General features: G+C 46.4%; 1 protein-coding gene and 1 long non-coding RNA gene across 9 annotated transcripts in view, besides 1 other annotated feature; both read left to right on the plus strand.

Moving 5' to 3' along the window:
• The window catches only part of LOC124900165 (uncharacterized), a 230445-nt gene that overhangs the window by 60370 nt on the left and 147806 nt on the right, over positions 1-22269 (plus strand). For 2 of the 8 annotated variants that reach the window (XM_047416490.1, XM_047416487.1), the window contains exon 3: positions 8994-9345. The exons of 5 other annotated variants lie outside the window; for them this stretch is intronic. The gene's annotated coding sequence lies outside the window, so the exon portion shown is untranslated. The remainder of the gene's footprint in view (positions 1-8993; positions 9346-22269) is intronic. One more of the 8 variants, XM_047416491.1, reaches the window with a different exon arrangement.
• The window catches only part of STX18-AS1 (STX18 antisense RNA 1 (head to head)), a 168808-nt gene that overhangs the window by 60370 nt on the left and 86169 nt on the right, over positions 1-22269 (plus strand). The gene's annotated exons all lie outside the window — the stretch shown is intronic.
• Positions 7724-8713: an enhancer, noted in NCBI's record as "H3K4me1 hESC enhancer chr4:4611951-4612940 (GRCh37/hg19 assembly coordinates)". NCBI's record gives its function as "activates a minimal SCP1, AML or CMV promoter by ChIP-STARR-seq in naive and primed H9 embryonic stem cells {active_cell/tissue: H9 hESC(naive and primed)}" and the evidence as "EXISTENCE:reporter gene assay evidence [ECO:0000049][PMID:30033119]".

Consider the following 22269-nt stretch of genomic DNA (forward strand, 5'->3'; position numbering starts at 1 on the left):
CACACACACACACAAAATAAGAAATTGGCTAATTTGATGATTATGGAGGCTGAAAAGTCCTGACCCAGGAAACCCAATGTAGAGTTCCAATCTGAGTCTACAGGCCTGAGAACCAGGAGAGTCAATGGTGTAAGTTCCAGTCCAAGTCTGAGTCTGAAGGTCAGAGAAGACTGGCTCAAAGGCATTTAGACAGAGACAAAGAATTATTTCTGACTCAGCCTTCTGTTCTGTTCAGGCCCTGAACTGGCCGGATGAGACCATCCACACTGGGGTGGGCAATGTTCTTTCCTCAGCCTACGGACTCAAATGCAAACCTCACCTGAAATGCCCTCACAGGCACACCCAGAAATAATAGTTAACCAAACATCTGGGCATCCCCTGGCCCAGTCAAGCTGACACATAAAGTAAACCATCAGAGCGAGTGGATGGGCATGCAGCAGTCTAATCTGAATGCGTCTGGGTTGTTCTTTGGCCATGCTCAATACACAGTTATTGACTATTGACCCAATGACCAGTTACTCAAAGGGGCAATTGTATCAGATACCTGATACTGTTAGGATGTGGGATTTGGGATGGACAATCTCAGGGCGAGTTGAGAGTAGTTATAGTCCCAGAAACTTGGATCTGTCTCTGGGTTGGACCATGTACCCTAAAAACTTCATGTCCACCCAGAACCTCAGAATATGGCCTTATTTGGAAGTAAAGTCTTGGCAGATGTAATTAAGATGAGGTCATCCTGGCTTAGTGATGATGTCCTTATCAGAAGGGGACACAGATACACATACAGAGAAGACAATGGCATGAAGGCAGAGGCCGAGTGGAGTGATGCAGCCACAGCCAGGGAATGCCAGGAACCTCTGGGAGCTGGAAGAGGCCAGGAAGGATCCTCCCCCGGAGCCTCTGGAGGGAGTGTGGCCCCACCGACACCCTGACCTCAGCCTTCTGGCCTCCTGAACTGTGAGAAAATAAATGTCTGTTGTTTTAAGTCCCCTAGTTGGTTGTTGCATTATTCCGTTTTCATGCTGCTGATAAAGACATACCAGAGACTGGGTAATTTATACAGAAGAAAGGGTTTAATGGACTTACAGTTCCACATGGCTGCAGAGGCCTCATAATCATGGCAGAAGGCAAAGAGGAGCAAGTCATATCTTACATGGGTGGCAGCAGGCAAAAAGAGAGCTTGTGCAGGGAAACTCCCCCTTATAGAGCCGTCAGATCTCCTGAGACTTCCTATCACGAGAACAGTACAGGAAAGACCTGCCCTCATATTCAGTCACCTCCCACCGGGTCCCTCCCACAACACGTGGGGATTCAGGATGAGATATCAGTTGTCATTCCTTGCGGCAGCCCTAGAAAATTAGCACAGCCTCCTTCTTGCATAAGCATCCACTGGGCCTTTTTGCCCCTCAAGGGTGATTGCCTGATGCCATTTCTCTTTCTGGAACACTCCAGCAGTTTGGCAAGATTCCCCTGTCAGGGGCCTTTCCCCCTTACCTATAGATGCTGGATCCCTAGTGTCTGGCTTGGCTGGATTTTAGTAGACCTTTTTTTATTTTTTTATTTCACAGTTGCTTATCAGGGCAGGAGGTTCAGATTAACTTTGAGGAATCATTTGTATTTGAGATAGGAAAGGCCTGCTAACTTTGAATGACTGCAGAGGGGAGCTGAAATCAGAACCCATTTGGGTCCTTGAGGGTCATAAGAGAAGTTTTCTTGCAGGGGGGCACTGCTGAGCAAAACCCCGTGACCTGGGGAGGTTTATGGTGCCCATCTTGCAGAAGGAGAAGTCACACACAAATGCACTGGGATCTGCAGGCCTCCAGTCCCTCCCAGAATGTAAGCTTTGCTATTTTTTTCTTATTACAAAATAAATATGTATTCACTGGGAGCAATGCAGATGAGAACTAAACTTTTTTTCTTTAATCTTGCCCAAATTCCTATCTAAGGGGTCTGGGGAGTCATGCCCTACAAATCATAAATTCTCATCAGATGGGTTTTATTTAACCCTATATATGGTGACTTACTTTCCATCCTGACTGGTGTATCATTACAAGACAAGGAATCAAAATATTTTACTCCAAAACATGTTTCTTTGCCATATTTTGAAATGGCCCTGCAAAGCTGTTCTTTATGGGGGAAAATTTGCATCTGTAAAGAATCTCTGTTAACACAGCTAGAACTTTTTCTTCCAGACCCTCCCAATCCTGAAGAGACTAACTAAGATCTGAATAGGAAACATTTGTCATCTATTGTCTCTAAGGGCAGCCACTATAAGACTTCAAAGAACTTTGGTCTCCGTAATGTTTATCTTAACCTGAACATTCCCTTCCTGTCAATCTCAGGTCTTTAGACAAACTCAATCAATTGTCAACCAGAAAATGTTTAAATTCACCAATAGCCTGGAAGCTCCTGCTTTGAGTTGTTCTGCCTTTCTGGACCAAACCAATGTATTTCTTCAATGTATTTGATTGATGTCTCATGCCTCTCTAAAATGGATAAAACCAAGCTGTACCCTGGCCACCTTGGGCACATGCTCTCGGGGCCTCCTGAAAGCTGTGTCGTGGGCCATGGTCACTCATATTTGGCTCAGAATAAACCTTTTCAAATATTTTAGAGAGTTTGACTGTTTTGGTTGACACAGACCATAATCATAAAGGGGTAAAAATGCTCCTTACTGTCTTGCTGCCTAACATGAACTTCCTAGCGTGAACACCGCATCGGCTGTTTTCCAATTCCTCCTGTGTGCTCATCCATACCCATAGATGCCTTCTTTGCCTGTTTTGACATTAAGAACCGTGTGTACTGCACATACCATCTTGTGAGCTGCCTTTTCACATTATGACATATTGTGCACATCATTCCATGTCCATAATTATGAACTGACATCATTTTATTTATTTATTTATTTTTGAGAGAGAGTCTCGCTTTGTCACCCAGGCTGCAGTGCAGGTGCGGTCATGGCTCACTGCGATCTCAAACTCCTGGGCTCAAGCAATCCTCCCGCCTTAGCCTCCCAAGTAGCTGGGACCACAGGTGAGCGCCACCATGCTCAATGAATTTTTTTACTTTTTGTAGAGACAAGATCTTACTATGTTGCCCAGGCTGGTCTTGAACTCCTGAACTCAGGCAATCCTCCCACCTCAGCCTCCTAAAGTGCTACCACGTCCAGCAATATCAACATTTTAAGTTTCCACCACAGCCTACCAAAGTGCTGCCATGCCTGGCAATATCAACATTTCAAATTGCTGCGTAGTTCATTGTTGCCGGTGCCTCCTTTCTTTCACACTCCCCTGCTGTTGGGTTTTTAGTTAGAGTGTGCAGGTGGGGAGGATAGACACGTATCTGGCTGAGGAGTTTCAGCCTGAAACCAGTCAGTGTTAAATTGCTTTTCCTTATGACTTTGTTTTCCTAGATATGAAATGGAAGCATCTGTGTTTTTGCTGTGATCAGAGTGACAATATGCTATAGAAATGAATGAGAGATGGCGATTAGCTGGTTAGAAAGTCCTGGATTATGAGTTCAAAGTTCTCAAGTGGGGTGTGTGTGTGTATGTGTTGTTTGGTGATCTTTCCTTCATCAAGGACAATCAAAGAGGAAGCCGTATGGAAGCATGTTGTTTCCTGTTGGGTAGGCTCTAGCATTTGCTTGTGTTCTATCTCCAATGGGCAAGTGGGGAGAAGGGAGTCTATCTCCAATGGGCAAGTGGGGAGAAGGGAGTCTCTGGACCCTGGAGCACTGCTGTGTTTAAAGTTCAACCACAACGACTAGCTGAATAAATGGGGGATGAGAGGGGGGTTATCTGAGCTTGGTTTGCCTCCGTTTCCCCATTGAATTAGTTTCCTGTGGCTGCTGCAACCAATGACAACAATCCGGGGGTCTTAAAACAATGGCGATTTATCCTCTCACAGTTCCAAAGACAGAAACCCAGAATCAAGGTGTCAGCAGAGCCGTGCTCCCCCTGAAACCTCCAGGGACAAATCCTCCCCAGCCTCTTCCAGCTCCCGTGGGTTGCCGGCATCCGTGGCGCCCTTTGGCTTGTAGCTGAGTCACTCTGATTTCTGCCTGTGGTGTCACATGGCCTTCTTCCCTCTGTGCTTCTCAGTGTCCAAATCACATTTTTTTTTTTTTTTTTTTTTTTTTTTTTGGGATGAAGTCTTGCTCTGTCGCCCAGGCTGGTGTACAGTGGCTCGATCTTGGCTCACTGCAACCTCTGCCTGCCGGGTTCAAGCTGTTCTCCCACCTTAGCCTCCCGAGTAGCTGGGGTTACAGGTGCGGGCCAACACATCCAGCTTATTTTTTGTATTTTTAGTAGAAACGGGGTTTAGTCATGTTGGTCAGGCTGGTCTCGAACTCCTGGCCTCAGTTGATCCACCCCGCCTTGGCCTCCCAAAGTGCTAGTATTGCAGGTGTGAGCCACCGCGCCTGGCTTTTTTTTTTTTCTGATAAAGACATTAGTCATTGGCTTTAGGGCCTAACCTAATCTAATGTGACTTCATTTTACCTCGAATACATCTACTAAGATGTTGTTTCCAAATAAGGCCACATTCTGAGGTCTGAGTGGACATAGATTTTGGGGGGACACTTGCTTAACCCCCTAGTAACATTCTTTAGGAGGAGATGTAATTTGGGGAATTAGTTAATACACAGAAAACACTTAAAACAGCAACTGGCCCAATGACATCCTCAAAAATATTGGTGGATGCATGGTTGAGACCTTCGAAAGGGCTCAGGAAGCTGATATGGAACTCCCCGGGGAAAGTCACCTCCTGACCAGGCATCCCCCGAGTCCCCACCCCCACCACACCTTTTGAGTCTTTATGTCTCATACACCAGAATATTAGGTTTTCCTCTTGCAACCCTTCCATTAAAGAATGGTTTTCTGGCGAGTTGTTTATGCGTGGAAAATACATAAAAATTTATAAAATAAACCCATTTACTTCCAGGCGAAAGTTAGCGTTTTGCCCGGAGTGAATTTTTGTGGCTGAGCTATAAAATTCCGAAAATAAGTGTTTCTAATGAAACTGCGCTACCCTTTAATGAATATCACCGCCCTCGCTATAACAAAGAATGTACAATATTTGGCATGATGCACTCTGGAAAAATCGCTTAATATGTAATGTGAGTGATGGCTGTCTTTGTGAGCCAAGCTCTGTTTTCATTTTGTGGGAGTAATTCAGCTCAACAAATATTTTTCAAGTGCCTACCACGTCCCAATCACCGTGCTAGGCAGTGGGTATATAAAGTTACCCCCAACCCCAAAATGAGTGGGGGGTCCTGTTTTGTAAACACTAATGAGCTCTTCAATGGGCACATGCTGGGCACCCTGCTGGTGTTTTATGCACATTAACCCATATCATCCTAACAGGGTTCCGGCAAGGGAGGCCCACTGTCTGTATCCCCATTTCCAGATGGGGCACAGAGGTCAAAGAAATTTGCCCACTATTATGCAGCCAGCAAGTAGACAGTCAGGGTTCAAATCCAAGCCGTCGGTTGCAGAGTTTCTGTTCTTAACCGCTGTCCCATACAGCAGCATCAGAGTCACAGCACAGGGAGGTGAGTTCAATGCTACTGGGGTCAGCCCAGGGACTGCGGAGGCACAGAGGAGGGGCACCCCTCCCACATAGTCTAGGGGGTGCAGAGAAGGCTTCTTGGAGGGGTGGGTATCCTTATGGGGAATTGGAGCCGGGGCCAGGAAGAGGAGAGGGGACAAGCGACACAGGCCCTGAGCTTAACGACAGCATGGCGTGTGTGTGCATGCGTGTGTGCTCGCGTGTGGTAGGTGTGGCAGGCTCCTGCATCGAAGGTGGGAGATAATCAAGAGATGAATCCAGAGAAGTGGGCAGACGTCAGCCCGAGGCACAGCGTGGGCGCTACCCACTGGAACTCAGGAGGAGGGCGGGAAGGAAGGCCTGAGTCAGGGTTTTTAGGAGGAGCAGTAATTCAAACATTTCAGGATATGCCGCCTGGAGGTTCTTTGCAGGGATGAGGGAAAAAAAAAAGAAATATAGACGAGAAAAAATACAGATTACTATTTCAAAATTCCACCTAGCCTGGCTTTTTTTCCCTCTGTCATTAGATCTATTTGTGCCGTCTACTTAAGGGTGGAGGGTGGGAGGAGGGAGAGGAGCAGAAAATATTACTATTGGGTACTGCACTGAATTCCTGGGTGAGGAAATAATCTGTACAACAAACCCGTGTGACGTGAGTTTACCTATGTAACAAACCTGCACATGTGTCTCCGAACCTAAAATAAAAGTTAAAAAATAAAAAAAATTAAAAAATAAAAAGGCTACAGAGCATTAGAAAAAAAAAAGATCTATTTATGCCCATTTCATCATTTAGCCCCCAAAGTCTGAGGTTCTTATGTTTTTTGTTGAGTGCGGGATGTTCCTGCTGACATAATAATAATAATAATAATAATAATAATAATAATAATAATAATAATAATAATAATACTATCAGCCAGGCGTGGTAGCTCTCACCTGTAATTCCAGCACTTTGGGAGGCCGAGGTGAGAGGATCACTTGAGGCCAGGAGTTCAAGACCAGCCTGGGCAAGCTAGCAAGACCCAATCTCTACAAAAAATACAAAAACTAGTCCCAGCTACTCAGGAGGCCAAGGAGGGAGGATCACTTGAGCCCAGGGGTTTGAGGCTGCAGTGAGATATGATGGCATCACTGCACTCCAGCTTGGGTGACAGAGTGAGACCCTGTCTCTAAATAAATAAATAAATATGTAAGTAAACCAACACTTGCAAATGCTTCTTATGGGCTGAACATTGTTGCAAATATCTTACATGTTTCAACTCATTTAATCTTCGCCAGGACTCTGCGAGGTAGGCACCACTGGTATCCCCATTTTTAGATGGGAAAATCTGAGGCACAGAGAGGTCCCCCAGCATCATGAGGTAGGAGGGGTTGAGTTAGGATCTGAGTCCTGCCAAAAGCTCCTTCCTTCAGCTCCATCATTGCTCCTATTGGAGTCTTCCCATAGGCAAGCCATACCACGCTTGGGCGTCACTGGCAGGATTCAGGTGAGCTGTGGACTGAATTGCGTTCCCCACAAATTCCTATTCTGAAGCCTCAGCCCCCAGTGTGATGGTATTAGGAAGTGGGGCCTTTGGAAGGTGATCCGGTTTTAGATGAGGTCATGAGGCTGGGGTCTCAGGATGAGATTAGGGAGCTTGCTCTCTCACCACCATGGGAGGACACAGCGAGAAGACGGCCACCTGCAAGCCAGGAAGGGGCCCTTGCCGGGACCTGACCGTGCTGGTGCCCTGACCTTGGATTTCCACCTGCAGAATGGTGAGAAAATCCATTTCTATTGTTTAAGTCACTTGATCTGTGGTGTTTTGTTACGGCAGACAGAGCAGACTAAGACAAGGTGTTCCAAGACACTGAATCTAGTAGCCCTCAGAGTGGCTACTCTGATGCAAGCTCGCCAGCTGCTTCTGGCTGGAGCAGCCTCCGTTGTGGACCCAGTGAGCCACTAGATAAAATATATGTGTGTGTGTGAGCCATAGCCAGATCAAGGCCGTGCTTCAGTGTGTCCTGCTTTAGAATAAAGGGTGTTGTTAAACTCATGACAAATGGTACTTTCTGTTGGAGGTGTGACCTTGGGACAGATACTCAGGGGCAAAATCCAGCTCTGCCACTCCCAGGGTTCTGTGTAAACTTGGGCCTATTTAACCTCTCTGAACCTCGGTCCTCTCACCTATAAAATGGGGGTACTGATACTTATCTCTCAGCATTGATGTGACAATTACATGAGGTACTCTAGGTAAAGTGCCCAGCACTTGGTGAATGCCTAATAGGTGGTGGGGATTTACATTCATATGATAAAATTTTCCCTTCAATACCCAGCTCAGGTGTCTCCTCACCTAGAAACCCTCCCTGGCTCTGTCTGCTGTCCCCTCTGTGCCTCACACACGGTGATGGCCACGTCCCACATTTGGTTCTGTGTGACCTGCTGACATGTTCACCTGGCTGCCCAGTTGCACAGACAGATTCTTTAACATAAACAGGGATGGGAGAAGGGCTGTAGCTATGTGCCAGGCAGAGGAAGGAAGGAAAGAAGGGCATTTCAGAACAAGGTAGAGAATTGTGCCAGGTGGCAGTGACTGGGAGGAGAGGGGAAGCTGGCGGGTAGGGACGCTGGCTGGGTGGCGTAAACAAGGAGGTTTTAGGATGAGCAGGGCACTGGGAGCTGGGGCTTTGTCCTGAGGACATGTGCACATACCCCTGTGGGGATTCAAGCGGAAAAGGGCTTGTTTGGATTTGCTAATATGTAGACAGGAGCCGTGACTGCAGCGTGGAGATGCCCCGTATGAGTGAGTGTGGAACCAGTGAGGCCAGGCAGGCTGTTGGGGTGATTATGGAGAGGAGCCTGATCCCATGGTGGCTGGCCATGACCAGCATGCCCCGGGGGCTGGGAGCACAACTGTCTGGCTGACACAGAAAGTTCAGGTAGAGGATTAGGGTCGATAATTGCCCTCCCTGGCAGGCAACAGGGGTCTCCAGACCCCTCTCCATAGGACTCGACTCTTCTCTCCCCATCCCCAGAGGTGTGATGGGGAAGCAAGGGCTGGAATTTGGAGGCTTTTTTCCTTTTTTTTTTTTTTTTTGTCCCGTGATCATTAGGGTTGCTGATAAGTGGGAATTATTAATTAAAGGGATAAAGCGTGTGCTTCCAAGGGTGATTACCATTACTGTAAATCAGACTTAATGGCTGCAGAAATTCATTAGGGATTCATTTCCTAATGATAACGAATTGGTTTGAGCAGATGTCAGACACAGCCGTGACCGTAATTCTAATGCCAGGTGCAAGGAGGGAAAAGTGTTATCCCTGCCCTATCCTGGGGCTGGGACTGAAAAATCAGGTGGCTTCTTGGAACTTTGGGCCTCAGCCATGGGTTTGGTGCCACAGCAGCCACTGGAACTTGGGCTTCTCTGGAAAAAATTCCCAGCCTTCACGCTTGCTGTGTCTTCTTCCAGGAGCAACGTTCCTGCTACCACTTTCCTTGAACCTCACTTTTCTTGGAAGACTTCCCTGACTGCTCCCAGGTTGGGTCAGGGGCCCATCTGAGATCCCGAAGCACTGAGCACATTGTGATGTCACTGTCTTCATCACCCGGACTCCCTTGGAGCCAGGCACTGGCTTAATCCTATCTCCATTTCCCCTGTGCCCAGCACATAGTTAGTGCTCCAGATGATGGGAGACTCAATGGAGAGACACGTGAGTGGATGGATGTTTTGCTGAAGGCATCCAATGTGGCAGAACCGGCAGCAGCAAACTGATTCTGTCTGGAATTTGGAAGCCAGGGAGGAACAGCCTCGAATGGACAGGGTAGGCCCCCAGGTTGTCTGGAACACTGCGCCCTACTTCAATCTGGCCTCCCCAAGTGGACCTTTGTGAGCCCAGGTTCTTCTCCCAGGCACACAGATGCCTGGACAAGGCAGGTCCTGGGGCTCATGAAATTCCCAGGAAATTAACCCAGGCAGCAGGAGCTAAAGGACACCAAACCAGCTGCCAAGCCTGGGTTTCCTCACCTGTGAAGTGGGGTCTCAGTCGTCATTGTAAGGTCTAGATGAATTAATATACATTAAGAGCTAGCACAGTGCCTGGCACAGGGGAAACAGTGAACAAATATTAGCCATTATTATGATTATTATTATTTTGCTGAACTGATAAGACAGAATTGCCAACTTTGTGAGCAGGAGGAAGGTAGATAAGGACCCACGCTCAGGATGACAGACCAGGCTTTGAAAGGGTGCGGTGCGGTGCATATGGGTAGGAAGGGAAAAGGAGAAGAGAACAGCAAGTATATCCCAAGAGGTGCCTTGTGGTCAGGCCTCCTGGAAAGGGTATGGTGTGCCGAGTCAATGCAGAAGGAAGGACAGACAGGCTGCCCAAGCCCTGCGCAGCTCATGTAGCGCCAGGTGGCCTGGAGTGGCTTAAAGGTACAGCCTCCGCAGCCCTCCAGAGCAGCTGGATCAGGAAGCCCAGTGTCGGTGGGGTCTTTACTTAAGCAGACAGAATAGTTATCCTCAACACGTGACATGTGTCTAGCCCCCACTGTGTCTGCTCGCTCCAGCCAAGTGCTTGCAAAGTAATTTTATTCCAGGTTTGGGTCCTTTTATGAATGAGTAAACGAGCTTGGCAAGGTTGAATGACCTGCCCACGGGCACTTAGCCAAGACGCAAGCCCCATCTGCTTGCTTCCACACCGTCTGGAAGCCTCACTGGCTGGGTTCAAAAAGGGAGGGGCCAGGCACAGTGGCTCACGCCTGTAATCCCGGCACTTTGGGAGGCCGAGGCAGGCAGATCACCTGAGGTCAGGATTTTGAAACCAGCCTGGCCAACGTGGTGAAACGCTATCTCTACTAAAAATACAAGAATTAGGTGGGCGTGGTGGCGTGCACCTGTAATCCCAGCTACTCAGGAGGCTGAGGCAGGAGAATCACTTGAGCCTGGGAGTGGGAGGTTGCAGTGAGCTGAGATTGCGTCACTGTGCGCTTGGGTGACAGAACAAGACTCCGTCTCAAAAAAAAAAAAAAAAAAAAAAAGAGGGAGGGCTCCTCTCCAGACATCAGGCTAGTTTTGTGCATCCCAAAGGGAGGAAAGTGCTTTCTGATATTGTACTTCCTTTGCAAGACCTGGACTTAAAGTTTGGGTCCTTGGGGATTGCCAAAACCTCTTGAAAATGTAATCTGTAAGTATCTATTAACATTGAGAAATACACATTCCCTTTGATCCAGCAATCCCACTTCTGGGAATCTCTCCCACAGAAATGAAAACCCCAAAATATAAGGACATAGGAACAGGATGTTTATTGCCACACTGTTAGTGGTGGCAGAAACCTGGAAGCAATCTGAAAGTCCACCGGAACTGGAAAGGTTAAATACGTTATGATACATGGCTTTTTGGAATACCAGTCTTTCCAAAATTAGATTTCTACATAATTATCTGGAGGGCTCTTCCTGACATGTTATTAAGTAAAACAAACAAACAAATAACCAGATAACCACCCCCTGAAGTTGGCCAGTAATATGAATTATACAATGCCTCTTAAAAAAAAGACAAGTTTTGAAATGTTATCCTATTTTTATTTATGCATAGAAAAGAGGTGAAAGATATTTACAAACGCTCACAGTTGCTTGATTGAGGAGGGATGAAATAGTGTGATTAAGGCCGACATGCACACCACTGGTAGAGCGCTGAATGCTAAGACCCCACCACTGTTTCCTTCCACTGCTTAACGACTGTGGGAGTTGGTAAATATCCTACCCCCACAGAACTTCAGCTTCAGCATCAGTCCAATGGAGCGAATCATCTGCCTGCCTCATAAAGCCTCCCAATATCCATGTTTTAGTGGGAAGACTTATCACTGCATCATCCGTTCATCCATTCATGTGTTCTATAAGCCCTGGCAGAGCAGCCACCATGGCCTGGCCCTGGGAATGGGCAGAGTGGTTTAGAGATAGTGAAGATTTATCCTGTGCCCCCTAGAAATTTGCAGATGTGCCTCCACTGACTACAGAGGAGAGAGAGGGAGGGATGCTGTTGACTTTGAAATCAGAGAGGGCTTCCTGGAGGAGGTGATGTTTCAGCTGGCGCTTAAAGGAGGAGGGAGACTTCACCAGGTGGAGTGTGATACAGATATATATTCTGAACCAAGGGAATAGTTGAGGGTGAGTATGGGGACTTGAGACACAAAAGTATTTTTTGAAATCTGGGAGTAGCTTGCTGTTGCTAGATTTTGCACGGCTGTACATGCCTGGAAATTATTAAGAGTGGAGGCAGGAAGGAGACTGGAGCCAGGTTGCGTAGTGCCTGACACTAGAAAATATAACTAGGAGAGAGAACACACAGGTAGCTGTCAGGAGCCAGCCACGTCTTAACTCAGTGAGTTCTCACAACAGTTTTTGTTGTTGTTGTTGTTTTGTTTTGTTTTGTTTTGTTTTTTGAGACAGAGTCTCACTCTGTCACCTAGGCTGGAGTGCAGTGGCATGATCTCAGCTCACTGCAACCTCTGCTTCCTGGGCTCAAGCAATTCTCATGCCTCAGCCTCCCCAGTAGCTGGGATTACAGGTGTGCACCATCACACCCAGCTAATTTTTGTATTTTTAGTAGAGACAGGGTTTCACCATGTTGGCCAGGCTGGTTTCGAACTCCTGACCTCAAGTGATCCACCTGCCTCGGCCTCCCAAAGTTCTGGGATTACAGGCGTGAGCCACTGTGTCCAGCCACAACATTTTGATGAAAGGGGATTTGTCCCATTGTACAGATGAGGAAATTCAGGCACAGAAAGATTAAGACACTTGCCAAAGGGCAATTGGCCAGCTAGTTGTAGAAAGAGAATTCCAACCCAGGCAGGCGTGCTCCGGAGGATCTTTGGCTATCACGTCCAACTGTCTCTGTGCTGGGCAGGCTGTGCTATTCTCACAGATGGTCTTGACCAGAGATTTTGAGCCCCATGATAACAGCAGCTCTGTCTGTGTTTCTGGTGGCAAATCCAGCATCTACAGTTGAGCCAGATCCCTGGCAGAGACCTGCCCATTCTTCAGACTTGGAAAAAATGAATGAACTTTGTGAGAGAGGGAGTACTATGCCCATTTGACAGATGTGGAAACTGAGGCCTTGGATAATTAACCATCTGCCCAAAGTCTCCCAGGAGATGGCATGCCCAGGATTTCTCTACTTTCCCCATGCTGCTTCACAGGGCTCACAGCAACTCCGTAACATCAAAGGTGTTGCACCTTTCCAGATGGGGAAACTGGGGTCTGAGAAGTCAGGAGCCTGCCTGAGTTCTCATGGTTAAGTGGAAGGAGAGAATGGTCTCATTTGATGATGTTGGATCTGGCCTAATTCCTCAGGCACGTTGTTCTCGAGACACATCTGGATCTGGTTGGGGAAGGCCCCTCGTGTGGAAGGCTTTCTTTCCGAGTGCCTTTTTATAGACTTGGAATGAAATTCTCCTGTGCCTTGCAGATTCCAGCTTGCTGCTTCAAAGATCATTTCTTCTCCAAACGGAAGACAGAGGCTTTTTGTTTATTTTCACAACAGCAGTAGAGACGGGTGTACCTCTCTTAGACATCTCCATTGCTGTTTGAAAATGAGTCTTTACATGGTTGGGGGCAGGAAATAACAGTTGCAATGGGAGAAACATCGTGAGATGTGCTTTAGCTGTGATCTCACTTAATGCTCCTGACATCTCTGCTGGGTAGGTATTATGCCCCCATTTGATAGAATAGGAGACTGAAGTTCAGAGACAGTATGGTTATTGCCCAAGAACAGATGATGGAGGCAGGCAGGCCGTGATGTTGGAATATGTCTTGCACCTGGTACCCTCCTTAGCTGTTTTCTATGTGGCTGCTCTCTGGGTCCAGGATGCTTTCCACCTCTCTTCTGGTCCATTGCACATTCTAGTCTCTGTGCCTCGGATCTTGCCCTCTCCCCAAAGCCTTCCCCTCGCTGCCTCCAGATTTTCCCAAACTATACATCTCTTTAGCCATTCTCCTGCTTAAAACGCCAATGAGTCTCCAAAAGCCTTGGGAGGAAATTCAGTTCATCAGCTCCACTTCTTCTCTTTGGCATTGGAGCTTCTTAAAAATAAGTTTTCGGCTAGGCGCAGTGGCTGACACCTATAATCTCAGCACTTTGGGAGGCTGAGGCGGGTGGATCATGAGGTCAGGAGATCGAGACCATCTTGGCTAACACGGTGAAACCCCATTTCTACTAAAAATACAAAAATTAGCCAGGCGCGGTGGTGGGCGCCTGTAATCGCAGCTACTCAGGAGGCTGAGGCAGGAGAATGGCATGAACCTGGGAGGCGGAGCTTGCAGTGAGCCAAGATAGCGCCACTGCAGTCCAGCCTGGGCAAAAGAGCGAGACTCCGTCTCAAAAAAATAAATAAATAAAAAATAAGTTTTCATAGGAGTCTCCTTTTAGAGAGAGGATTTTATGACAGAACAGATCATGAGATAGAACAATAAAAATTGGCCAGGTGTGGTGGCTCACACCTGTAATCCCAGCACTTTGGAAGGCCGAGGCGGGTGGATCATCTGAGGTCAGGAATTTGAGACCAGCCTGGCCAACATGGTGAAACCCCGGCTCTACTAAAAACACAAAAAATTAGCCGGGCGTAGTGGCAGGCGCCTGTAATCCCAGCTACTCGGGAGGCTGAGGCAGGAGAATCGCTTGAACCTGGGAGGTGGAGGTTGCAGTGAGCCGAGATCGTGCCACTGCACTCCAGCCTGTGCAATAGAGCGAAACTCCATCTCAAAAACAACAACAACAACAAAAAACCCAAAAATTAGTCAGGCATGGTGGCATGCATGTGTAGTCCCAGCTACTTGGGAGGCTGAGGCAGGGGAATCGCTTGAACCCGGGAGACGGAGGTTGCAGTGAGCTGAGATCTGATCACTGTACTCCAGCCTGGGTGACAGAGTGAGACTCTGTCTAAAAAAAGAAAAAAAACAAGAGAGTAAGATAAAACAATACTAATAACAAGCCGAATGGTATCACAGATTTATACCCCACTCCTCAAACAGGTGAAGAAAACGAAGCTTCTATATTTCCGGTAAATGGCCTAACTATGCTGCTGGGTAGCTGTGGAAAGGGAGAGGGACATACAATTTGATGGTCATGATAGCTCCATCCCTCCCACAATTCGTTGTCTGCTTAGTCTCCGTCAGCTGTGTGCTCAGATGTGCAGAGTTCTCCTCCTATCTAAGATGGCAGCCACAAGGATTGGGGGAAGACATGGAGCAGTATCTGGGCATGCAGGTCATTGGGCTGTCCCTGGATCTTCTTAGCTCCTCTCTGGCATATCCAGTTTGGTATGACTTGGCTCCTGGGCCCCTGTGTGGAGTCCCGTGAGAGGCAGCTGAGTCCAACTGGCCTTTTGGGGTATCATCAGGGCACTCTTGCAAATAGTCTTGGCCATTTGCTCCTGCCCTCAAAGTCCCTGAATTCCATGGCTCTGTCCTTCTGACTTGGACTCTGCTGGTCCCCTGGTTCTCCCTCACCTCACCAGGGCACGTGGGAACCTGCATCCTCATTGATCATGGAGAATGAGCAGCACCTCCTCAGGGCCAGTGTCTAGACATTCTCTTTGCTGATGCCGCACTATTGCTTTCGGCCATATATTGGAAGTTGAACCAAATGCAATGTGCAGCTTCTCCTAGAGGCTTGGAGTCTCCTCTGGCTCTGTATGAGCAAGCAGCTCGTAAGCCTAATGCTCTCTAGTTTTCTCAAAATTATTTACATACTTTTACCTCAAGGTCATGGGCACGTCCTGTCCTACCTCCTTCTTCCTCCTCTTAGAGAGCCAGGTGGGTTTTATCTTACTCCCCTTCCTGTCTAGCAAGAACTTCTAGGTCAAGCCCTCTTCTTCTTCTCCTATTCCCTAAGGCTCTAAAGCAGAATGGCTCACAGGCAACAACATTTGCAATAAGGTAGAGAGGATAAAAAACACATCTCTATGATACATCCAAATATTATTCATGTTATAGTAAATCAGATGAAGCCTTGAGCTTCTCAGCAGCCACGTAAGGCTTAAATATGAGGGAACAGGGGCTCTTAGAAGTGAAGTGACTTCTGAAAGATGCACAGAGAATTAGGAAAGAGTCTGAATTCAACCCTGGAACCCTGACTTTCAGGTGAGTGCCTGGCCCACTAAAGAATGACAAAGCCATGGGGAGTGGCATGGAAAGCATGAGCTTTGGAGTTAGACAGGCCTGGGTGTGAATCCTGGTCACCCCAGTTCTGTTAAAGACCTCAGAAAAGTTACCTAGCTTCATTAAGCCTGTTTCTTCAGCCAAAAATTAATGGTGTTAACGCTTACCTCTCAGGATGGGGGTCACAAATAAATAGAACGACATAAAGTACATAATACATCAATCAGTTAGGATGTATTTGGCTACAGGCAAAAGAACAGCCCTCCTCAACTGGCTTAACCAACAATTAACCTATTATCTTACATAAAAGGGAGTCTAGAAGTAGGGATGTTCCAGGTTTGGCTAATCCAGCAGCTCAACCATGTCAACACAGACCGGGTTTTCTCTGTCTTGCCTTTTTGCCATTCTCAGTGCTTTCATGGGCTCCCTTTATGCTTGCAATATGCCAGCTGCAGCTCCAGACATCAGCTTCTCACATACCTATGTCCAGAAGCAGAAGAAGGACATTTCTCCCTTGTGCATTTCTACTGAAGACTAAATATTTCCTGCTTGGCCCCTATCAGTCTTCTCCTCAAGTTTTATTTGCTAAAACAGGTAACATGTTCTGGGTATCTGTAGATGGGTCATTAAAAAATCATCCCAAAATTTAGTGACTTATAACCACAAAGATAATTTATTTTGCTTACAAATTTGCATTTTGGGCAGGAGTCAGCAAGGACAACTTGATTTTGCTCCATTTCTAAGCTGAGGTGGTTCAGCTGGAAACTGGAGGAGGGTCTGATTTCAATGGCTCATTTGCATCCCTGGCAAGCTGGTGCTGGCTCTTGGCTGGGACCTCAGTTGGGGCTGTGGGCCAAGGTCTTGGTTCCTGTCCATGTGTACTTCTCCACAGGCTGCCTGGGCTTCCTCACAGTATGGTGGCTGTGTTCCAAGAACAAGTATCCCGAGAGAACCAGGTGGAGGCTGTATTATCTTTATGATGTAACTTCAGAAGTCACATTGAATTCTTACTCCATAGACACAAGCCTACCCAAATTCAAAGGGAGACAACCTAGACTCATCCTCTCAATGGGAGGTCACATAGTTGAAGAGCACGCAGGATGGATATCTACTGGTATGATCATTTTTGGAAAACACAGTCTGCCACGTATGCTTACCTCTTAACAAATTAATAACAAGGAGGATGAGCTCACCATGTGTAGTTCGGACCTATCTGCCTATCTGGATTTACCAGAGTAATGGTGGCTAGGGCCTTGGAAGAAATGGAAAATGGCTGTTAGGCAACCCAAAGTATTTGCCTGTAAAGCTGCTCAGCAAATGATAACATGTTATTGTCACTGGTCATCTAGCTCTAAGACCAGGCAAATATGTATTGAGAATCCTGTGTGCAGCTAGTTAGAGCAGAAATGTCCTCCAGAAAGAGTTTCTTTTTATTTTTTATTTTTATTTTTATTTTTTTTGAGATGGAGTCTCACTTTGTTGCCCAGGTTGGAGTGCAGTGGCACGATCTCAGCTCACTGCAACCTCCGTCTCCAGGGTTCAAGTGATTCTTATGCCTCAGCCTCCCTACTAGCTGGGACTACAGGTGTGTGCCACCACCCCCAGCTAATTTTTGTATTTTTAGTAGAGACAGGGTTTCACCATGTTGGCCAGGCTGGGCTCGAACTCCTAACCTCAAGTGATCCACCCGCCTCAGCCTCCCAAAGTGCTAGGATTGCAGGCGTGAGCCACTGTGCCTGGCCCCAAAAAGAGTTTCTTGAGAGCAGCTGTACATGCTAAGTTTACTCTTCTCCTGCAGTTCCCTGCCCCATTATGAGCTATCTTCACGGCTTTACTTTCTCTCATGCCTGAGGGCCAATGTTTTGTTGGTATGGGATATTCTAGTTTGACAAGTTAGTGACCAGTAGAGGCTGTTCTGAGGCGACTGCTGCCATTGTTCTTTCATGGCTGTCTATTTTTCTTGTAGCTGTTTTCTGGTGTTAGAAAATTGGATTAAGCTTTAATCACATTTCCTCCTAAACACAAAAGTCCAAAATTAGTAGCATATTTCTAACAGACCTCACTTAAAGCCACATCAAATTAAATAGGGCCTTTTAAGATGGGTCCTCCTGTATGTGTGTGTGTGTGTATATATATGTGTGTGTGTGTGTATGTATATATGTGCATACATGTATGGTGCAGCATGGATTGGAAAAGTTTAGGAAGTGAGGTATGTTTGTAAATACTGGAAAGCTCAAAATTATTTGACCCTGTGATATTTGACCCATATTCTTGCAAATTGTACTCAACTTGGAATTGCCATCTTATGGATTTGCAGCCCTTAACCCCTGCATATTGCTTTGGAATTTCATTACAAGCTCTTTTGATGATGTTCTGTTTTTATAAACCTTGATGTTATCTGAGCTTGCATAGGATCAAAAGCTACTGAGGGCAGAAGCCTCCTTTGAGACCTCCTATTTAGCCCCCAGAACTCTCTCAACTTAGACATGGACAAACTGAGGCTCAAGGAGGTGAAATTAATTTATCTAAGCCACACATGGTGGTGGTGTTTGGGTTGGATGTTGAATTCAAGGCTCCTGATAGCAGAATGGGGAACTAGAGTGCAAGCATACTTTGAAGGTACACAGGCAGGTCTGAATTCCACACCAACCTACCTTACTTACTAGCTGTGTGACCTTGGCTGGGTTGCTAATTTCTTTGCACCTCAGTTCCTTCTGCCCCTGCAAAGTGGGGACAAATGTCCTTATCTCAGGGTGGTTGCAAGAGTGAAATGAGATAAATGTGAGGCACAGAGCCCAGAGCCAGGCTCCTAGAAGGTTCCTGTCTTAGTCCATGTGGGCTGCTATAATAAAAATACTGTAGAGTGGATGGCTTATAAACAATAGAAATTTATTTCACACAGTTCTGGAGGCTGGGAAGTCCAAGATCAAGGTGCTGGAAGATTTGGTGTCTGGTGAGGGCTCACTTCCTGGTTTATAGATGGCACCTTCTCACTGTGTTCTCACATGGCAGAAGGGGCAAGGGAGCTCTCTGGAGTGTCTTTTTTATAAGGGCACTGATCCTCCTCATGAAAGCACCACCCTCATGAGCTAATAATTCCCCAAAGGCCCCACTTCCTTATACCACTCTGTTGCCCAGGCTGGAGTGCAGTGGCACAGGCTCAGCTCACTGCAAACTCCACCTTCTGCGTTCAAGCGATTCTCCTGCCTCAGCTTCTTGAGTAGCTGGGATTACAGGCACCTAACACCACGCCTGGCTAATTTTTTTGTATTTTTAGTAGAAATGGGGTTTCATCATGTTGACCAGGCTGGTCTTGAACCCCTGACCTCAGGTGATCTGCCCGCCTCGGCCTCCCAAAGTGCTGGGATTACAGGCGTGACCCACCGCGCCCAGCCTGGGGGTTGGAATGTTGAATGGGAGAAGGTGATGATTGATTTAGTTGGTCAAAGACCAGATTCTTAGTTTCAGGTGCCCAAGAAAAAGTAAGAGGTTCTGGAAGGTGGGTGTCACACGATGACTGCACATTCAGGTATCGAAGCCCTGGCAGGCGGGGAGAATAAGAGGCTGCCCCTCTGTGCCTTCGCCCATGGGAAATCTTAGACTCTATTCATTTGTCAAGATCAACTCAAAGATCATGTTCCTAAGAAGTCCTTTTATCCTTTCTCCTTTGTGCACCTTGGGCATTGTGCACTGAATTAGGGACTATGGTTGACTGCATGCAACAGAAATATTACTGGAGGACCTTAACTAAATTTTTGTTTCTTCATATAACAGGAAGTCTAGAAATGGGAAGACCTGGCTGCCATAGCAGCTCAGTGGTGCTCCCAGAGGCTCGGGCTCCCTGTGTCTTTCTGTTCCATCATCTGCAGTACATGGCACCCATTAACACGGTTGCTTCCTCGTTACAAGATGCATGTTTCACCCCAAGTTTTCTATTTGAGTTCTAGGAAAAGGAAGAAGAAAGCAATAGTAAAAACGATGTAAAAGCTTTTCTAAAAATCCCTGGCAAGCTCTACTTACATGTAATCTTAGATTTAAGATCAACCACCACCCTCACTGAGAGGGAAGGCTTATGTCCTCTCCCTTTGAATGCGGGTAGGGTCTTTGACTGCTCTACCATTAGAATATAGCAGAAGTGATGCTATGCTAGTTTCTAGGTCCAGGCTTTGAGAAAATGGCAGCTTCCAGTTCTTCTTAGAACCCTTGCTCTTGAAACCTAGCCACCATACTGTCAGGCAGTCCAAGTTACCCAGTGGAGAACCCCATGTAGAGAGGTACCGAAACCCCCAACTACAGTTTCTACCCTACAGCCAGCCACGGGAGTGAACCACCTTGGAAATGGATCTTCTAGATGACCTGCCCCAGTTGATGCCATTGTAGGGCTAAGTGAGCCATCCAAGCTGAGCTGTGCCCACATTCAGATTTGTAAAGTAAATTACAAACTGCTTTAGGTGATTTGCTGTTTAAAATGAATAGGTTTTGGATTGTTTTGTTGCATTTTAACAGATAATCAGGACTTATGCCATTGGCCATAAGTGTGTCACATGGTGACCTCTTAACTGCAAAAAGATGCTGAGGAATATAGAATTTTAGCAAACACATTGACATCCAAAAAGAAAAATCAGAGCTCTCTTAGTAAAGAAAAAGAAACAGATAGAAAGTCGGCAGCCAGCATTGCTCAACTGGTACCTGTAATTTTTTATCTGCTTCATTATTGACGTGTCTTTCATCCTCTTTGCTGCTGTCTGCATTGAAAAAAAAATGTTGTTTACCCCATAAAAAATTTAGCATGCACTCCATGTATTCGCTTGTCTAGAAATTATATATTTATACCTACGAATATATTATGAATGATAAAAACCTTACACAAAAATAGAAATTTCAAACCTAGGCACGGTGATATGTGTCTGTAGTTTAAATAATCAGGAGGCTGAGGCAGGAGGATTGCTTGAACCCAGGAATTTGAGGCTGCAGTGCATTGTGACTAAGTCTGAGAATAGCCACTGGACTCCAGCCTGGGCAACATAATGAGACATTGATAATGGTTTGGCTGTGTTCCCACCTAAATCTCACCTTGAATTGTAATAATCTCCACGAGTCAAGGGCGGGGCCAGGTGGAGATAATTGAATCATGGGAGCAGTTTCCCCCATGCTGTTCTCATGGTAGTGAATAAGTCTCATGAGATCTGATGGTTTCATAAAGGGAAGCTCCCCTGCACATGGCCCTTGCTTGCCACCATGCCTTTGCCCTTCCTTTGCCTTCTGCCATGATTGTGAGGCCTCCCCAGCCATGTGGAACTGTGAGTCCGTTAAACCTCTTTTTTTAAATAAATTACCCAGTCTCAGGTGTGCCTTTAGTAGCAGTGTAAAAATGGACGAATACAGGCATCATCTCTAGACAATTTGATTAATTTAAAAATAATAACAATAGCCAGGCGCAGGACTCACGCTTGTAATGCCAGCACATTGGGATGCCAAGGCAAGAAGATCGCTTGAGCCCAGGAGCTCGAGACCAGCCTGGCAACATGGTGAAACCCCATCTCTACAAAAAATACCAAAAATGAGCTGGGTTTGGTAGTGTGTGCCTGTAGTCCCAGCTACTCAGGAGGCTGAGGTGGGAGGATCACCTGAGCCCTGGACATCGAGGCTGCAGAGAGCCAAAACTATGCCACTGCATGCCAGCGTGGGTGACAGAGTGAGACCTTATCTCAAAAAAACAAACAAGCGATAATAATAATGATAATGATAAATAAAAACTTCAAAAAGAATGTTAAAAGATACTCAAAAAGAATTTTAAAAAGATTTAAAATATTCTTTCATTGTGTTCATTCATAGTACTAAAACAAAAATTATTAATAATGTTTCGGGTATTTTCACATAATCTTGAATATCTCCAGACACAATATATAATCCTTTATGGAGAGAATTATTGCTAATGTTAGTGGTGTTGCTAACATTGCTAATGTTAGAGGTGAATTATATTCAGCTCTTTTCTCAATGAGCACTCTCTCTCTCTCTCCCTCTTTCTCTGGTTGACTCCCACTGCCTCTGATTAGATTCTCAGGGGTTGTACCTAAGGGATGACAATGAACTCATATTTGAAGGACAAACACCAAATCTGCTGTTTTCTTGTTCTCTCAGGCTTCCATGTTTACAATTGTCTTCAATCCATGGCTCCCTTGCAGGAATTCTGTTCATCTGTGGCTCCACAATGAGAGTTCGTGTGACTAACTAGACAATATAAAGTTGCAAATTCTCTTCACAGAGCACAGATAGCCACAGAGCACTGAGCAGGCTAGTGGATGCAAGGCGCCCTCACCCCCTGGGTCCCCCAGCCTCTGTGAGGAGCTCTCACTCTTCCCATCTGTATTAGTTTGTTTTCACACTGCTAATAAGGACAGACCCGAGACTGGGTAATTTACAAAGGAAAGAGGTTTAATGGACTCATAGCTCCACGTGGCTGGGAAGGCAGAAGGTGAAAGGCACATCTTACATGGAGATAGACCAGAGAGAGAATGAGAACCAAGCAAAAGGGGAAACCCCTTATAAAACCATCAGATCTCATGAGACTTATTCACTACCACGAGAAC

This window comes from Homo sapiens, chromosome 4, assembly GCF_000001405.40.
Source record: "Homo sapiens chromosome 4, GRCh38.p14 Primary Assembly".
NCBI classification, from domain to species: Eukaryota; Metazoa; Chordata; class Mammalia; order Primates; family Hominidae; genus Homo; species Homo sapiens.